Here is a 19,211-nt window from a genome sequence, read left to right on the forward strand (position 1 = left end):
TGCTAGGCTTTTTTTCTGGGCTAGTACTATTTTTGTGATAATAATTTAAAAGTTATCAAAAATGCTTCTAGCTACAAAATTGCAACTATTGTGTGTAATGGTAGAATAAAAATTTATTCTGAGATACTGAAAGGAGAATCTCATAAAATAGAACTCAACTTTTAAAATTCCATTCTCACAAATTTTTTAAGTATTCTTTTTTAAAAGATTGGCTACTTAAAAATGTTTGGCTTTCTTAAGTGAATGTAAAAACACATTATTAATGATTACTAAAGAGTAGGTATCAGTATGATACATATAATTTATTATGTCTTATAGAAGGGATTTTGAGTGGGAGTAAAGAAATATTTGTGAAATAGAAAAGAACATGAGAATTCATAAAAGGTATTCTAAAAATTCTTAAGCTGAAAAGTTAAAGTCTGTAACAGACTAAACACATTCCAAATGCCTCTAGATATTACATATGGATGCTATCTCTCAGCATGTGGATACTTGATACATTTAATAGGAAAGATTTGTGTTGTGCTTTCAGTGCAAAACTATAAAAATATGTTACAAAGGTAAGGGTAATAATTTTCAGTGACTAAGCAAAGCTTGAATCTCTGTTTATAAAAGTCTTTAAAAGCAGTATTTTAAAGCTAGAATGCAAATGCTTTGGGTTTAGTCTTCCACAAATGCCTAAAAATGCACTATAAATTCTGTTAGTATATAAAACGTATTGCTTTTTTGTCTCTTGAAAGCCATACAACTTTCTCTGTCAACCAAGCATTTTATATTCAGACCTTATAATGCATATCTATATATAACAGTCCATATACATATGAGTGTTCATATCCTCAAATATATAGAATCATTTAATACTATATTATCACTCTAAGATTTGTTTTGTTTTTAGCTTTTATTCCAAGCCTCTGACATAAGCTGCTTGACTGAACAAGTTTTATATATATCAGCAATATCTGGGCAAAACTCACTTGAAATTTATTACCAGATTTGAAATTTCATCATATTCCACAAATGCTGAAAACTGATGTGCTCCTTTTTGCATTTCTTAATGATAATAGGCTTGCAAAGAAAACACATTAAAAATCAACCTAATCCACTGATGAGAATATATTTAATGTATTTATTTTAGATTGCTGATAATTTAGAGAATACTTCGTGCAGAGTGAATTCATCATGCATTTTGCTTAATGCTGTTCTCAACTTTCCAGCAAGAAGTCAAAATTTCACCATTTTCAATTTGGAGCAGAAAGCATTTGTAGCAGCTGTAGCTCTTAATTTGACATCTAGTTTCAGGTCATTTTCATGTAAATAGGGAACAATGGAGACCGGCTTACAATTTCCATAACGTGGATGTTTCCTTCAACTTTATTATTTTCTTATGACAATTATATTTTCTCTGTGGGATTAACGGAGCCAGTAATTGTTCACAGTTATTATTTATAATCTTTATGAAAACTTGGTAGTTCTACTCTTTAGTACTCAAAAGCTCCCAGTGCCTTCTATATTTCAGTCATACACACAATCCATTAATGTTTCTAGCTGATCCTTTCCTTAATCAGGGGTAGGTTAGGCAGGTCAGGCTTTCTATTTCTTTCTATAATACATTTTCTTCAGGCTTTGCAACCTCTTTTTCTACCTTTACAAAAGTATAGGAGGTGAAAATTTGGAATTGTTCTGTTGAATAGAACTGATGCCCTATTGAAAAGCAAGTTTGAGTTTTGATTTATATTGCTTTGAACATGCCCATATGTATTACCAACTGTGGCTTCACAGCCATTATAACACGTAATTCTGTGCTTTTTCTAATAAATATTTTATTTCATTTTTCCTCTGTTCCAGAGAAGAAGCCTACTTTATGCTGAAGCATCGATGTGCTTTCTTCTGTGTTTTTTATGATCTGTACAGCAATTTTCAAGTGTGTTTTAATGGGGAAAATTTTAATTTTTGTGTACCTCTTTTAAAATATGTTGATTTATGCAGATTAAGTTAAGTAGGAAGTTATTTTTGTAGGTAGTCATTTCCATTTGTTCCTCTTCTAGGAGTAAAAGTAAGAAATCAGATAGACTTTTAAACATTTTGTTTTCTGGATCATCTGAACATACCAATAAATTATGTACTCTTTTGACTTTGAAGTTGTATTAGTTGATATAATCCTGAGCAGGGGTGTGTGTGTGTGTGTGTGTGTGTGTGTGTATTTTAGATGTGCTCCCTCTGTTTTTTAGCAGACACTCATTTGTGCTCTTGTTTTTTTCTGCCCCAGTGATATGACAAGAACAGTGGAGATTTCTGGGGAAGGAGGCCCATTGGGAATACATGTAGTGCCCTTCTTTTCATCTCTGAGTGGAAGGTAAGATGTTTTTCTCATTCCAGAAGCTCATGCTAATGAAAACCCTGATTTGAGCTCCTTTTCCCAAATATTTTTCACAAGGAGATTAAATGTGAATTCTATTATTCAAATGGATACCTCAAGACATACTTCTGTTGGCCACTTAAGTGTTGGAAACAAAATAAAATAATTGACTTTAGGATGTAATGGGGAAAGAAATCAATCACTGTTTCTCCATTTACAATTAATTATGAAATACTTTCTTAAAGTATCCTTATCAGTGACACATAGTAAACAGAATCCTTGGCAAAGATGTTAACATATTGTTAGACAAATGTTGCAACTGAATTTTTTAATATTCCAGAATATACTTCAACAAGTGAGTATAATAATTCCAAATTGATATATCCTGTTATTCTTCAAGTATGTAGCATTTAGAATAATAAATATTCTAACATTTTAAGTAGCTATATCTGATGCTGTGTATGTATGATGGCTTTATAAAAGCAATGTGTCATCATGCTGTATTTTCCTAAAATATAATTTAGTCAATTAAAAATAATTTACCACATCCTTTTGGAATTTTTAATACATTATGTTGCTAAATCCACACTGGTAAAAATGGCATTGTAGATCGTATCAACACTTCTTGAAATTTACATCTATCTAACTGGATTTAAAACTTGTTCTCTTGATGGAAATTAAAGTGTGTGCCACAGAGTTCATATTACCCCTGTTAAAACAATTGTACTGAACTTGTTTTAGATATTATGTCACTTTGTAATAAGACGACCACATTTAGCACTAGATTGATATTGACAAGGGTTGTCAGAAACTTAAAAGAAAATCAGTTTTTCACTAACATGACATGATTTTAGTTAACTTACTGAATTTATTTTCTTAAACACATCATTGAAAAGGGGGGATTCCTTAGTTTAGTTTAGGATATCAAAGACGAGACAAGTCAATTGATTTTCCCAAGGTCATACAAAATCCAGCTCTCCTAACTTCTCACTTCATTGTTCTTTCAAGAACTAAAATTTTCTCAAAGGTTATATAGTATTAATTTAGTGGTTCTGAATATTTATTCAATTCAGTCTGCCCTATAGCGAAAAGAACAGATTTAGTCATGGTATTTTGGTTGGCATCATATTCAGCAGGTAGCCATCTGCTACCTGTAATTGCGAAGTCATCACCTTTTTTTTTTTTTTGCAAATAACATCTGATGCCAAGCTCTCACTGGAATGAATGTTCCCCAAAAGAAATGAACCAAAAAGCTAGCAACTCTTATTGTCTCATTTCCTGTGTGTGTTAATAAGTGTGTTTATAAATGTTATGGGTTATGGCATAGGACAAACTGAGGTTGTTTTTGATAGATAGGGTGAATATTTACTCAGTTGTCATGAGAAATTCTAATGACTTTTGGCAGAAGTATACTGACAGAATTTTGTGAACTACCAGAGCTATTAAATGACCAGGCTCTTTAGTTTAATGAAGGTGGGATAGAGCACAAGATCTTCCCAATTTCCAAAAATGAGAAAATATACAGTGTGACAGTCACTAGACTTCATTTTCAGTAGTTCAGAAAACAAGCTGATCCTATAGATCAGAAATCACATTCTCTCACTTCAAACGAGGGAAATACACTAAGCTTTATTGATTTCCTCCCTTCCTTTTCCTGGTTCTGATTCCTAGCACAAGCCTTGTAGAATAGAAGGAAGAGTATTGGACGTGGTTTCAGAACAACTGGATTTGAATCCCAGTGTTCTTTTTTATAACCTTGAGCAAGTCCCCTAAACTTGCCCCTTTTGAGTACCTACTTTACATCAAGGTTATGGGGATTAAATAACATTAAAAATGTGAAAGTTCCTTGTAAAACACCTAATGTATGAACGTGTAAATCATCAGTCTGATGATTATTTTGGCTAAAACCAAAAAGCCTGATTCAGAAATGTAGTTTTATTATAAGTTCATGGTTAACTGTTCAGTAACTTGGTGAAATAGTTCTATTATTTATTTTTTGCTATCCACCAGTATTATAGGAAGGAAATTTAATTAAAAAACATTAAAAATGCTATGGAAGTGGAGACATGAGCCAATAAAAGTTAAGGAGTAATGAGTACAGGCTGAAACAGCACGCTTAACTCAACCCATGTGTCTAGATGCAACTGTGTATAGAGCATGTCAGACAAGTGTCTGACTTCATAATGCCATATGGTTTCACTGTGTGAGCACAGGGGCTTCGTTAAGGTCATAGTGGTATACTTTGCTCTTAATTTCCTTCCATTTATTGGTTTGTGCCATTATTTTAAATTAGAATTTACATTTAATTTTTTTACTAAGATTACTGTAATTGGCTTTGCCTCCAATGTATTTTTTTATTTTTTTTTCTTTTAGAAAAATGTTGCCACACCTGTTGTTGAATAAGAAACCTAATCTAAGTTAGATCATCCTAATAAGTAAATTATAGTGGCTGCTCTGCTAGATAAAGCCTCAATGAATTCATTAGATACCATCGCAGAGGGGTGCTGAATGCTGCTTGTATTGAGGGCCATTGGCTTTCCCAGTAAAAACAAAGCAAACATAAAAAAAACACCAAAGTTCTTGCAACTAAAATGCAACTTAATTTTATTCAGATTTTTAAAATCAATGTGGTTTTTGTGAATTAAAAACATGAAATCTAATTCGTTTCAGTACAGATGCATAATATGCCTCAGTTTCATAGGGAAGACAGCTAAACAGGAGAGAGAAGGAGAAGGACTGGATGAAGGCTGATAAAGACTGTGAGAAGAGATGTTCAAACCAAAATTCTAAGCTGGTAGAGTCACTGAGGCTGTGTGACATTGGGAAAAGAACAGGAAGGGGGCAAGGAGAAGATGTTGGTGCCTAAATGATAATTAGAAGAGCAAGAAGAATTGTTACCCCTCTAATTCTGTGAGGCTGTGGATTTCAGCATCCTTTATCACTGTTCATTAATGCAAATTAACTGGTTAGTCTCGGCCTATAACTCCTCGACAGCATTAATCTTTAAATTCTGCGAGTCTTGGTCCCAAATGAGACAGCTACCACAGCCCACCAGTTCAGGGCAAAGAGGATAATGAGGTATTGTTTTCTGAGCCTTCTTGTATTGGTCTGGATGAAATCAAACTGGAGGGAATCTATCCCTTCCACGGAGCAGAGAGGGCAGAAGTGGTTTGTTGCCAGGGACCAAACTAATAAAATCAGTCAGTTTTACATTTTACCAAAATTACCTCTGACACATGGGTTTTACAGTTGGGCTTATTCTGTCAATAAATTTTTCATGGAAAGTTAGATTATTTAGATCAGTGAGGTTCACATAGCATACTCCAGCTGTAATATGCCAGCTAAATTGCAACCCAGTGGCCCGAAAGAATTAATTCATCTCCCAAAATGTGAAATTAAATCCTAGGGAGTAACATTACATGACTGATGATGTACTGAATTAAATTAAAGGAAGACTTGAATGCTTGTTAAAAAAATATCACTTACATAAACACGTTTATAACCACATGTGAGCCTCCTAATGAATCAAGTTATTGTGAATCCACCCTAACAAAAATCCAAAATGTGAACTCTTAGGATGCTGTTTAATTTAGGGAAAAAACCCATAAGTTTTATCTATTATTTTAATGTGTCAAATAGTTTCATTTTTAATACTGTGTTTCAAGATTAAAGTAACACAGAATATGACTAATTTGCTAACCTACTGGAACTAGGAAATGAACCACAAGACCCCACTGCACACTTGTGCCTATGACCCTGAGCCTTCCCTGCAGTAGATGGCATGGCTGTTTGCTGTTCTTTCTCCTGCAGCAGCGTGCTGTATTCATTTAACATTTTGAAGTGAGACCCAAATATCACTGCCATGCCTGTTGAGGTCTTGAGATGATGGGAGCTCATTAAGGGGACAGAGGTTCAACTCCGTGGCCACTCCAAACAGGAGGACTACTTTCTCTAATACTTGCATTGTAGATTCCCCTTTTCTATGGCTGACCCTGTTATTTACACATAAAATGTACTCATGTTTTATTTAGGTTTGAAATTTAATGTGAAGGTATTTTGTAATAGCACACATGGATTTTATACAAAAGAGAGTGACAAAGTCGAAAAGCAAGAGTATTGATAAAGTGCAGATCACAGTTTCTCCAAATGTAGCAGACTCCTCTTGCAGGACATATCTATCTTTCTTACTCTGGACACAGCTAAGCCTTGTCACATCACGAGGAGAAGGGAAATCCCACAAATAAGAAATAATGAAAATATGTATAAGTTCCATTTCTTACGGTTTTTGGTTTAGTTTTGGTTTATATATGTAACAGAATTGTGTATGTATGTGTGTACACACACACACACACACACATACACACACACATATTTTAATTCTAGTGGCTATAGTTTTCTTTCTTCTTTCCTTCTCTTCCAACCCTCCTGATTCTAAGCTACAGCCACAAAAATCCAGAGGCCTCTTTGTATCCTCTCTAATTTAGCCTCTTCTTGGTTGAAATTTTGGACAACTCTTCCCAAAGCCTGCCTTCATCATGTCGCTGCCCTACTCGGAAGCGGGGTCTGCTAGATGCCCCCCTCCAGGTCCATCAGATTAAGTTCATTGGCTGTTTGTTCAAAGCCTTTGTGTGTGGCACTGGTCTCCCATCTAGTTAGCTCTCAAATCTTTGAAGGCTCTAGGCTTGTTAATGTCTTTAGTTTTTGGACTTCAGCTGTCCCCCAAATGTATAGTGAAATTACCTGGTCCTGGTCCTATGACTTTGTCTCATACTCCTCCATCCTGATCACACAGGAAACACCCAACACATACTTGATTTGGTAGCACCAACAAATGGGATCCAGCTTCCTTCTAAACTGAGTAATATGATCTGAGCTTAAATGTTTCTTTACTTCTTAAAATGCAAATTTTTAGAATAGGTAGTAAGACTGCAAAAATGTTACTGTGAATATCCTAATGCTCTCCCACTGCTAAACATCACGTTGCCACGTTGGCACTAACTCAGACTTACTATAGTCAGGTGTGATGCCCTTCTCCAAACCACAAGTCTTTGGTGTCAACTCCAGTAAACTAGCCTTTCAATAAGTTTACTGCAAGCATGAGAAATGAAGTCGCAGATTGATGTTGGTACTTATGCATATTTATCTAGAAGGGCTTTTTCTCTTGTAGTCAGTTTTGGCTTTTTTTGGATTAGGGATTAAAATAACAAACAGTTGCCTGAATATAAAGTAAAATTTCTTTTGTAAATAGAAATCAATATGTATTTCTGAATAGTTGCAAGTGGAGAAATAATTAGCATTTATTATTCAGTAATTATATTTCAATCTAAATTTTGCATTTAGGATTCTAGGACTCTTCATCCGAGGCATTGAAGACAACAGCAGGTCCAAGCGGGAGGGACTATTTCACGAAAATGAATGTATTGTAAAAATCAACAATGTGGATCTCGTAGACAAAACCTTTGCTCAGTAAGCATTTTTTCATTGTTTTATTTACTTTCTTGATCCCTAGCATGGTTATAAGCATTACTGAACTCATTATGATCAAAATAGTAGGTAGAATTTCTAGTCAGTTCCCTTTGAACGATCCAGGATATCCATTTTCGAATGCTTCTAATGTTTTAGCCTACTCAAAGGTGGCCCACACATGTCTCTGGCAGGTCTGAGAATGCTAAACTACAGAATATCACAAGCCTTCCTGCCTGGCTGTCTTTACTGGGGCGTCGTTGAACGGGTTTGTTTTTCTTGGGCTATGGGTCACTTAAACTGGTATTTAACGGCTCTTTTCACAGACTGTTGGTTCAGCTTATTAATTAACTTTCTTGGTGTCAGCAGTCTTCCTTAAACTAAAAAATCTGTGAGAGATGTCTGAGGACTCACCGAATCATAGAAACAAACAGAAAAAATAAAATACCGTCTCCTGGCCAGGCGGAGTGGTTCATGCCTGTAATCCCAGCATTTTGGGGGGCCGAGGAGGGCAGATCATGAGGTCAGGAGTTCAAGACCAACTGGCCAATATGGTGAAACCCCATCTCTACTAAAGGTACGAGAAAAATTAGCCAGGCGTGGTGGTACGCGCCTGTAATCCCAGCTACTTGGGAGGCTGAGGCAGGAGAATCGCTTGAACCTGGGGGACAGAGGTTGCGGTGAGCCGAGATCGCGCCTTTGCACTCCACCCTGGGTGACAGGGAGAAACTCCGTCTTCAAAATAAATAAATAAATAATACTGTCTCCCTCAAGAAATCATCTTTCTGCATGTGAAAATGTTAAGGGAATAGCTTCCTGTACCCAGGAATTAGAGTGTATAGTAATCTGATGCATATTTTTTTAATGTGTGTTGGCATTGCAGTGGGATTCTGGACCAAAGGACTAAGTACTAATAATCCTTGGGAGTCATCACCACCCTCTTGTTTCTGACCAAAACAGCTCCTAATACATCTTCTCGCTGGGCATTAGTTGTCAATATTGTATGCGTGTTTGTGGACAAAGATGAGTGGTTGTGGGTCGAGGAAAAGTGGGTACTGGCTGCTAAGTATGAAAAGAAATGAAACCTTAGAAGAATCTATTGTGTTAAAATAATGAATGATAGACAAAACTATAGTTAGTAATAATTTTTAATATACTACTGTGCTTTTTCACAAGGACTTGATAATTATGCAAAGCAATCATTATTACTTCTGTTTTATAGAGGTGGAAACTGAGGCTCATAAAAATTTAGTATAGAGTTAGTATGGAGTAGAAACTGATTCCTATGCAAGCAAAAATAACATAGGGGAACTGACCACAGGAGTTAGGTGGAGTTAGGCCTATGTGAAATCTTCCTTCTCCCCTAACAATTTGCAGAATTAAGCACTTCAGAAAGGGGGGTGCGGGGTAGGGTTTAAGGAATCAGATTGCAGTTGGGATTATGATTAGTTATTATGTGCTGTGGCTGCTAGGAACAGAGACCTGAAATAAGAATAGCTGAAACAAGATTAACATTAATTTTTCCTAGCAACAAGCAAACGTGGAAGAGGGCACTCCACAGTTAGTGCGGCAGCTGCACAGCCGCCAGTGGGTCAGGCAGCTTCCGTTTTCTGCTTTGCCATCTCGCCATGTGGCTACTATCCTTCAGTGGAAAAATGGGCACAAGATGGCTGCTGAGTTTCCTCAGTCACTTCTGAGTTTCAAGAAATAGGGAAGAGAAACAGGAGAACAATAAAAGTTTTTGTCTCTCTACTGAACCAGCCGCTTCTAAAGAGCTTTCCTTTAACGCCTTCATTTATATCTTCTGGGCAAGAAAGAGTGGGAAAGGTAGTTGTTTGACCTGGGCACAGGGCATCTAGAGGCATGAGGAAGAAGAAAATGTTATAAGAAGTTTGAGGAAGAACACAAAGTGTTAGGTCATAAAAGTGAAAAACACAGTTGCTCTGTGTGAGAGTAACAGGAAGGGTGCATGTTGGATTGAAATTCCACTGAGACATTTTGGCACAGCCAAAGCACCTGCCAAAATGTCTCCATGAGCAAACATGGATGTCAAACTTGAACTTGTGTAACACAACCCATGTTAGAGAAGATCTGTACTTTAGAAGGATGTCCTAAAAGAAACCTAACTAATGATCTGATCCAAAATATCTATTTTGCTTTTTATATTCACTTTGGTAATCACTTCTGGTTAGATTTTCATCTTTAGAAACATGTAAAAGCTGTGGGTCATTGGATAAATTATTTCATCTCTCTGAGCCTCAACTTCCATGTCCGTGAAATGAAAGCTATTTATACTTACCGAATGTGCTTTCTAAATTAGAGAAGGATGCATGCTAATAATGCATGTATAAGCTAGTGCAGGGGCACCTAGTGCAAATAGTAAGTGGTAACTAGTATGTAGTTGGCAAAGTCATTCTGATAGGAATATTGATCGTGTCTCCTATGATTAGCCACTGTGCTGCTCTTGGTTGCCATCCTCCTGGGGTACTTTAGAAGATGCTGCACCTCAAAGCAGGGTCATCATACATTTATCAACTTTCTTTCCAGGGCTCAAGATGTCTTCCGCCAGGCAATGAAATCTCCAAGTGTGCTCCTCCACGTGCTTCCTCCACAAAACCGTGAACAGTATGAAAAGTCAGTCATTGGCTCTCTTAACATTTTTGGTAATAATGATGGCGTTTTGAAAACCAAAGTGCCGCCTCCTGTCCATGGAAAATCGGGACTAAAGACAGCAAATCTCACAGGAACCGATAGTCCTGAAACAGATGCATCAGCTTCCCTGCAACAAAACAAGAGTCCCCGAGTACCAAGGCTGGGAGGAAAACCATCCTCTCCCTCACTCTCGCCTCTCATGGGATTTGGCAGCAATAAAAATGCAAAGAAAATTAAGATTGACCTAAAGAAAGGTAATTATTAAATTATGCCTAATAGCATTCTATTATTGTAACATGTAAAATTGGTTAAGAGAAATGCATTAAGGCTAATTTAGTTAATTCTCCCTTCATTTAATTGTATCAAAGAATAGATTTAAGTGTATACTTAGGTAACTTAAATTTCTTGAAATTGTACTTTTTTATTCTTTTCTTCGGAGTGTATAGATTATTTTAAACAAGAAAATAATAAAGACATGTTGGGAAGTGGAAAGAATCATTGCAAACCTGATATCAACAGAGCAATATTGTATTACAACTTAATACCAAATAGGCATGAAAATTCAGTTGTCCCTGTTCTGAGCACGATTAGTGATTCTTGAAGCATCCTTTAGGCCATGTCCAAAAAGCATATTGTTTTTCTAAGACAGTCTTCTAACAACAAAAATTTACTCCTCAGAAAGCAAATATGTAATGTTTACTAATTTCTCTGATTCAACGTCACAAACATTTAAAACATACCTAATTTCAAAAGCATGTATAATATTTTCTTTCTTCATCTTTTTCAACTTTTCTATCCATTTCAAGCACAGATCAGTGAGAAGAGATCATGTGTGTACATGCATATTTATGCAGTATTCTACACACATACATAAGCATTCATGTGCTTCTGTGCTTTTGTTCATTTTGTAACCTCTGCTTTATATTACCTTCCCCCATTGCAACCTTCTGAAATTCTGTGTTTTTCAAGACAACTCAAAAGAAACCAAGATCTTATAGATTCTTGTCTGAATTAATAGAGAATTTATGGTCAAAAGGTAGTTTTAGAAAAACTATTAAGGTCTTTCAAAAACAAATAATGTATCATCATTTAGGATATGAAAATTATTCTGGAAAGATTCTCTGATCAAAATTTCATTCACCTATAAGAATTCTATTCTGGGAATAAAATACATTGACTAGTAGGTACAAAAATACTTCAGTGTGCTTATCAATCAGGTTTTTTATTTAAATGCCTCAGTTGTATTTTTTGTACAAATGATCCAGCTGTGTGTAAGACACAGATTTGGGTGTTTTGAATATAGAAAAATGAATCAGACACAGAATCACCTTAAAAATTTATTACAAAGCCTTGAATGCAAAAATGAAAGATACGACATCACATCTGTACTTTGGCAAGATTAATCTGACAGCAAAAAGATACACTGAAGACAAGGCCAAACAACAAAGGATAAGTAAAGGGTGCACTGCATCTGTCTAAAGGTGGAAACATAATAGGCATGCATTAATAAATGACTGGTTGTAGGAAGGAAAAAAGAGAAGAATTACAGTGATTCCTGAGGTTTTTCAGCCAGAGCAAGTTGCATAATGGAGATGTCATTGCTAGAAATTAGAATTTTAAGTAGATGAGGATATTTGAAAAGGTCAGGATCTGGACTGGAGAGGGAGGTACATAGTGAAGTTTGAAATGTGCATGATGACATCTAGGAAGCTGATATCAAAAAGAGACATTGGAGCCATAGAGATTTAGGTCTCTTTCATTGGAAGATATACTTGGATCCAGGAGCTGGCCAAGGCAGGGAGTCTAGGGGACAAACTGGTCTAAGACAGATCCTTGAGGAACATCTGTGGCTACATGGGAGGACAATGAGTAAGATTTAGAGAGAGTGATGGATGTGATGTGATCAAAGATAGGAAAATAATCAGAAAATAAAGACATGAAAACCAAAGAGAGTCAATTTCAAAAAAAAAAAAAAAAATAAGTGGTGGGAATCATCAAAGCTAGACCAACAGAGATGGTCGCGGGTAGGTCACTGGTGATGGAAGCTTGAAGAAGCAGTAAGATGGAAGTAAGGATCCTTCAGGGTAGAGAAATCTGAGCATACCTTTAGACTGAGTGAAAAATACATGAGAAGGGAGAAATTGGAGATGCAGGAGAACAGGACAGGAACAACAAGATGCTTGCTGACCAGACAATGGGATGCAGCAGTACAAGGAATTGAGACACAAGTAGAGGGCTCAGCCATAGGTTGTCCAGCTCATGTAAGAGGCTGACAGAACTTAAGTCAAATGGCCTTTTGCTTCTCAGGAAGTATGAAGTCAGGTTATGGTTTATTGAGAAGTCAATCTCCTGGGCATCTGGATAACATGTGCATTTCTTCTAGAACCTGAATAAGCCAAAGTGTTACACATCTGGATTGGGCCCTAAATTCACTTTGATACTGTCATGGCCTGTCAGGAACTATAATCTGCATTTGAAACACAAATAACTGAAGCATATTTAAAATGTCCCAGAATGTAAATATTTTACTGATTCTATATTAGTCTAAATTAGGTAGATCTTACTGTAAGACTGAATATAATATTACTCATGCTTAAGATGACTATACATTTTCCTGTTCTTATACACTAGGCCCTGAAGGACTTGGTTTCACTGTGGTTACCAGAGACTCTTCCATACATGGTCCCGGTCCCATTTTTGTAAAAAACATTTTACCAAAGGGAGCAGCAATAAAAGATGGCCGCCTACAATCAGGGGACAGAATTTTGGAGGTAAGAATTGGAATTAATAGTTGTATGAAAATATTTCTTGGCATTTAAATAATGCCATTTAATTGCATTGAAATATATGTAAATATATTAATATTTTTATTTTGAACCTAATATATATTAAAAATTATTACTTATAGACAAGATAAGAACTTTAACTATAGAACTGGTTAATGAGGAGTCTAACTTTGTAAATCCCCAATAAGGTCAGTGATATGGGGCCAAATGATAGTGAAAACCATTTCTGATCTTCCCTCTCTTATTTCTACCTCTTAGAGTCCCTGTGAAATTTGGATTGAATCTAAGAATTCAACATATATTCAGTTAGGGCTAAAAAGTTAAAAAGTCTTTGTAATAGTCTTTTCAAACTTGGCCAGGACAAGCCAGAGTATCTCAGGTCATTCTATGCTTTGTCCATATCCCTATCATCTGTGCTAGGATAGCAATGAAAACAGCTGGAAGGGATTTTGCAGAGAGATATATTTGGGATACCAAAAGCAAGAGGGTGGCTGTTTGTTTTCATTTATTTTTGTCTGAGGACATTATCGTCTTGATAATTATATATTGTCCATTTACCTTTGAAGCAAACATCTTCATTAAAAGCAACACTTTAGCTTTTCATGTTGTTCTAGATCATGAAAGAAGATGCACCAAATGACTACTGTAGCTCCAAATTAGAATTTCCCTTAATCTATGATAATCTGGTGACTATAATTTTCTAAATATGTTTAAAACCTGCAGGATTCTATTGCTAGGTTCGTATTTGCAGAGAAATTTGCCTTGTGATCATGGTTCACTCTGCTTGTTGAATTAGGCAGAAAATGGCGCTAAGTAAGCCTTTGCAATCTGCTTTCTACCTTAAGCGGAATCATTTTCTGGTATCTGTCAGTCCAGTTTCCCCCACATAAGAATGTGATGTCTTAGGAAAAACTGCTGATATTAATTACCGACTCTGAGTTCATCCAGCATCATGATGATGCATTATGGGAAATATTGTTGGGTTTTGCCCATGTATTTAGTTATCATCTTTTCAGAGCTTCCTCAAGTATGGGAGCCCATTTGCTTCTTGTTTTCAAAAACTATCTAGTGTAGAAGGAGATAACAAGTATTGTGATTGTGGCTGTTCATATGCTTTTATTCATTAGGTAAATGGGAGAGATGTCACCGGACGAACCCAGGAAGAGCTTGTGGCCATGCTCAGGAGCACCAAGCAGGGGGAGACAGCATCGCTGGTCATTGCCCGCCAAGAAGGACATTTTCTGCCCCGAGAGTTGGTAATGTTCAGATCTCAGTCTCACTGAATTTTTAATGCCGAGCTTAATACACTCAATGAACTCATTATAGCTGAGAAACGAGTTCTAAATCACAGGCTTCATTCATAACCAAAATTGAATCACACTCAGGGTATTTTACCCCATTTGGGGTATCGCATTTTTAAAACATTGATACAGCCAGTGGGTATATGTAAACAGTGATTCCGGGGCACAGATTCAAACACCTTTAGCAATAAGCAACTATTCAACAGTATGCAACTAATTCAATAAAATATATATTGAATATGTGCTACGTGCGAAGCCCTAGGCAAAACACAGTCAGCAAAATAATTTGTGGACCTACTTTAATGAAGTTTACAGTCTAACAGGAAATAAAAAGATAGCCAAGTATTCAAAATGGCGATGAAGATTATGAAGGGAAAATGCAGAGTGCCATGATAACATAGAACAAGGGTATTTAACCTATTCTTGAGGGCTGGGATAGACATCTTGAGAAAGATGAGTTCAAAAGCCTTATTAAAAATGTATACCCTTAGACCTAGTAACTAGACTTCAAGTAATCTGTCCTAAACTGATGATCAAAGATGTGGAAAAAATTCATGTACATTGATTTTTTCCCCTCAAGTTCTATCTATTGCAGTGATATATTGGGTCCTGTATAACTGTAAGGCATTGGTTAGATAAATAACTAGATAGCTTGCCAGTGAAATATAGAAGTACTTAAAATGGTTTCTGTAAAAAATTGATAATACCCAGCACTTTGGGAGGCCGAGGCGGGTGGATCATGAGGTCAGGAGATCGAGACCATCCTGGCTAACAAGGTGAAACCCCGTCTCTACTAAAAATACAAAAAAAAAAATTAGCCGGGCGCGGTGGCGGGCACCTGTAGTCCCAGCTACTCGGGAGGCTGAGGCAGGAGAATGGCGTGAACCCGGGAAGCGGAGCTTGCAGTGAGCCGAGATTGCGCCACTGCAGTCCGCAGTCCCACCTGGGCGACAGAGCGAGACTCCGTCTCAAAAAAAAAAAAAAAAAAAAAAAAAAAAAAAAAAATTGATAATAGCATGAGAAAATGTTCATAATCTAATACTATATTTAAAAGTAGGATGTAAAATTATTTGTGCAGTATCATTAAATTACATTTTAAAACGTTAACAACTAGAAGCAGATACATCTGGGATATTGGTTATGAGAGGTTTTCATTTTCTTTTCTTACCATAAATAAATATTATTTATTTTATTGAAATTGTGCTTTTAAGAATGCTATAGAAAATTCAAAAGGAGGACAGGTGCAGTGGCTCATGCCTGTAATCCCAGCACTTTGGGAGGCCGAGGCAGGTGGATCACCTGAGGTCAGGAGTTCGAAACCTGACCAGTATGGTGAAACCCCGTCTCTACTAAAAAATACAAAAAGTAGCCAGGCATGGTGGCATGTGCCTGTAGTCCCAGCTGCTCAGGAGGCTGAGACAGGAGAATTGCTTGAACCTGGGAAGCAGAGGTTGCAGTGAGCCAAGATTGCACGAGTGCGCTCCAGCCTGGGCAACAGAACGAGACTCTGTCTCAAAAAAAAAAAAAAAAAAGGAAAAAGAAAAGAAAATTCAGAAGGGATTTTGTAGCTAATAACAAATAGAAACAAATGTGATAAAAGGACTTGTATTTACTCCTTGTTATTTCCTTTGAATCTGTATAAGAATTGACAAAGGCACATGTAGGTTCCCAGAGTTAGGTTATTGGAACAGTAAGGATTAGTTGACAGAACTGATGATGTTTCACTTGAAGAAGAGAAATTTTAGGAGACATGACAGTTATTATCAAATATGTAAAGAGTTATTGTATGGATTGGAAAGTAGACCTGATCTGTTTCTTCAGACAGTTTCCAAGTTTCCTTGGCATGGAATTTTCTTTCTCCCTTTCCTTCTCTTTCCCATCATCTTACCCATTTTTCCCTTTCCTTATTGTGTACTCTGGGGAGATCTGTAACAAAATAGGGAAAATAAGAAAAAAAGAGTGATCTGAGTCATGCAGATATAGTCCCCATTTCCATTCCTCTACTTGACTCCTCCATACCCAACCATTTGAAAGGTAGAATCCTGAATGTCTGTCTCATCTCCTCACACTTTCTAGAGAAATGATGCAGAAACTTGGAGTCTGGATTTTTTTTCTAAAATACAGATGGATTCTTCTTTCAATCTTTTATTTATCCAAAGACCTTGGTCTTTCTCTACAAGGGTCAAAGTGAAAAGAAACAATAAAAAGGGGGGCAGTTATGTGTATGCACCACAAGAGGCCCTTTCATTTCTTGTCTGATATTTAGGTTGTTAGAAATAAAAACTCTCCAAAATCCTCAGTGGAACTATGTGCTTATTTCTGAGATAGGAGAGCAAAGAAATAAGTTTTGACTGTGTATTCCATTGAACTGTGGTCCTGGAAGAAATAAAACCCTGCATAAAAACAGAAATATTTCAGGCAGCCCCTGAGCATGCAAAAGAATGCAACCACAGAACTCCAACTAGGAACTTAAACCCTCGAGCCTGCAGTTTCTGTCTAGTAGTTCCTTATACCTTTCTCCCATATGTCCTCTGGAATTTTTAACCCCACAGTTAATACCTTCTTCCTAGAAGCTATGCCCCTCCACCAGGTAAGGGATGCTGATTTATCCCAGTTTGAAGCTCTGAATTCATTCCTCATCAAAGGCAATTATATCTGGAAGTTAGCAACTGGAATAACATTTAACATTGTCTCTGGAGTTCACATCCCAGAATTCAACTTCTGTATCCACCACTTACTAGCTGTGTGATGTAGAGCCATTCGGAACATCACTCAGAGGCTGTTTCCTCATCTGTATTGTAAGAATTGTTGTGAAGATTAAATGAGATAATACAGGCAAAGCTTGTAGCATAGTTTCTGGCTAATTGTAAGTTCTCAAAATACGTTAGCTATAATTTTTTTTTCTAATACATGACCATTTCTGTAGTAGTGTAAACACAATTCTATACTCTAGATATATTATGGGGTAGATAGATTTATGCAGCCTTGCCTGGGACTAACCACTATTTTTGAACAATGATTGTTTTATTTTTTTATTATTTTATAATGTATTCTGGGATCCAAAATACTGAGTTAAAAACAACATTTTTATAACCAGTCAAATTGATAAGGGAGGCAGCTGTATGTGTTATTTCACTCTCATTTAATGGAATTTAGTGAAATTTGATTTCTATCCCAGAATGACATAGGCCAAGTCCACCAGGGAGCATATTAAGTTAACTGTGCAACTGTGAGATTATGAGTGCAAACAAATTATTTGTTCTCATTGTTTCTAGTTCTATACTAAATTTGGAGGGTATATGCTTAGTATTCATTCCTTTAGAAGTTTCTAGCAAATATCTAGACTCTCAAAAATAGTTGACAGTCAACCATCCAAATATGTGGAATTTTCTTTGTCACCATAGCAAAGCAAGGGCATTTGAGGTTTATAAGCACCTAAGTCACGTGGACCCATAGCCTTCCTATTGGAGAAATAAGGAAAAGCACTCTTTTTCCAGCCCAAATGCCTGCCTCGAATGCCAAGAGGCAAGAACCTTGCAGGAAGTTTAAAAAGAGGTGATGTTTGGCACGTGCTGGGCTATTTCAGTGGGAATTACTTCATAGTGTGGCATACACCGGCCTGTTTGAAAGGGCAAAATAAAGAAGTGTGTTATGTGATACATCTTTGTGTTTTCCTTTCAAAAACTTGAAGGTGATATCACTTTGGTCTCTTCTTCCTTATCATGATTGATGTACACACTTGACTTTCCATTGAAAATCTGGCAGGATGAAGGAAGGACAGCACTTCCTACTTTTGTCGTGTTCTATCTCCTTTGAGGAAAACAAACTGTGTTTATTGGTTTCCTCTTCTAAGAAACTGTCCTCTTTTGTTAAGCCTTGCTGTTCTGCGAGCTCTGTACCTTCTTAACAGCACTGCACTGCCTAGTTTCCGACGCTTAAATCTTCCTTACTTCCTTGTTATCGTTAGCTTCTTGTAAAGTCTTAACACTTAAGCTAAGGGAGCATGTGGTCAGCAGTTATACAGGAAGTCCCAATATAGAATTGTCTCTTGGATGTGACTCTGTCATTCTGAAGGCCATGGTATCCATTTCCTGGTCATTTCTCCTGACCTGCCACCTAAAAGAACTGTGCTGAACTCCTATATTCTAGTTCGTGTCCTTCCTGAGCAATTGATTAACGTCCCAAGTTTAGCAGCATATTTAGCCAACCTTCTTTCCATCTGGGGCAGACCGGGTTGAAAATCAAGTGAGAGGAATTTATATAATAACATTACAACTATTTAGCTGTTTCTAGTATCTTTACCAAAAGAAGGGTATTTCAAAGATAATCTTTCCAGAATCCCATTCTGAAAGATCCTTTGGTGTCCTCACCCCCTGACTGGGTGAGAGTTTACTGAAGAGGTGTTCACATAAGGAACAGTTTTGCAGAAGGTACTTTGAGATTAGTTTTGGTAATAGATTTAGAATCTGAAGGCTAAACTGCTGTGTCTGTGTCTATACTTGAAATGAAAACTATGCTAGTTAATCAACTGGTGGTTTGCGTGGTCAGTTCTGTAAGAGATGTGGCCTACAAATTCTTTTCTGTCTCTGATACCTGAAATTCTTTCTTATGCTAAATGTCAGATAAAGCCGTATTTCCACTTAAGAAAGCTCC

At 36.7% G+C, this 19,211-nt stretch overlaps 1 protein-coding gene across 18 annotated transcripts in view; it reads left to right on the forward strand.

Moving 5' to 3' along the window:
- The window catches only part of PARD3B (par-3 family cell polarity regulator beta), a 1,074,688-nt gene that overhangs the window by 565,750 nt on the left and 489,727 nt on the right, over nt 1–19,211 (forward strand). For all 18 annotated transcript variants that reach the window (XM_047443208.1, NM_001302769.2, NM_205863.4 and 15 more), the window contains 5 exons: nt 2,267–2,353; nt 7,697–7,822; nt 10,367–10,725; nt 13,103–13,242; nt 14,385–14,513. In XM_047443208.1, the coding sequence (XP_047299164.1) occupies nt 2,267–2,353; nt 7,697–7,822; nt 10,367–10,725; nt 13,103–13,242; nt 14,385–14,513 (841 nt within the window). The remainder of the gene's footprint in view (nt 1–2,266; nt 2,354–7,696; nt 7,823–10,366; nt 10,726–13,102; nt 13,243–14,384; nt 14,514–19,211) is intronic.

Source organism: Homo sapiens, chromosome 2 (assembly GCF_000001405.40).
Source record: "Homo sapiens chromosome 2, GRCh38.p14 Primary Assembly".
NCBI lineage: Eukaryota > Metazoa > Chordata > Mammalia > Primates > Hominidae > Homo > Homo sapiens.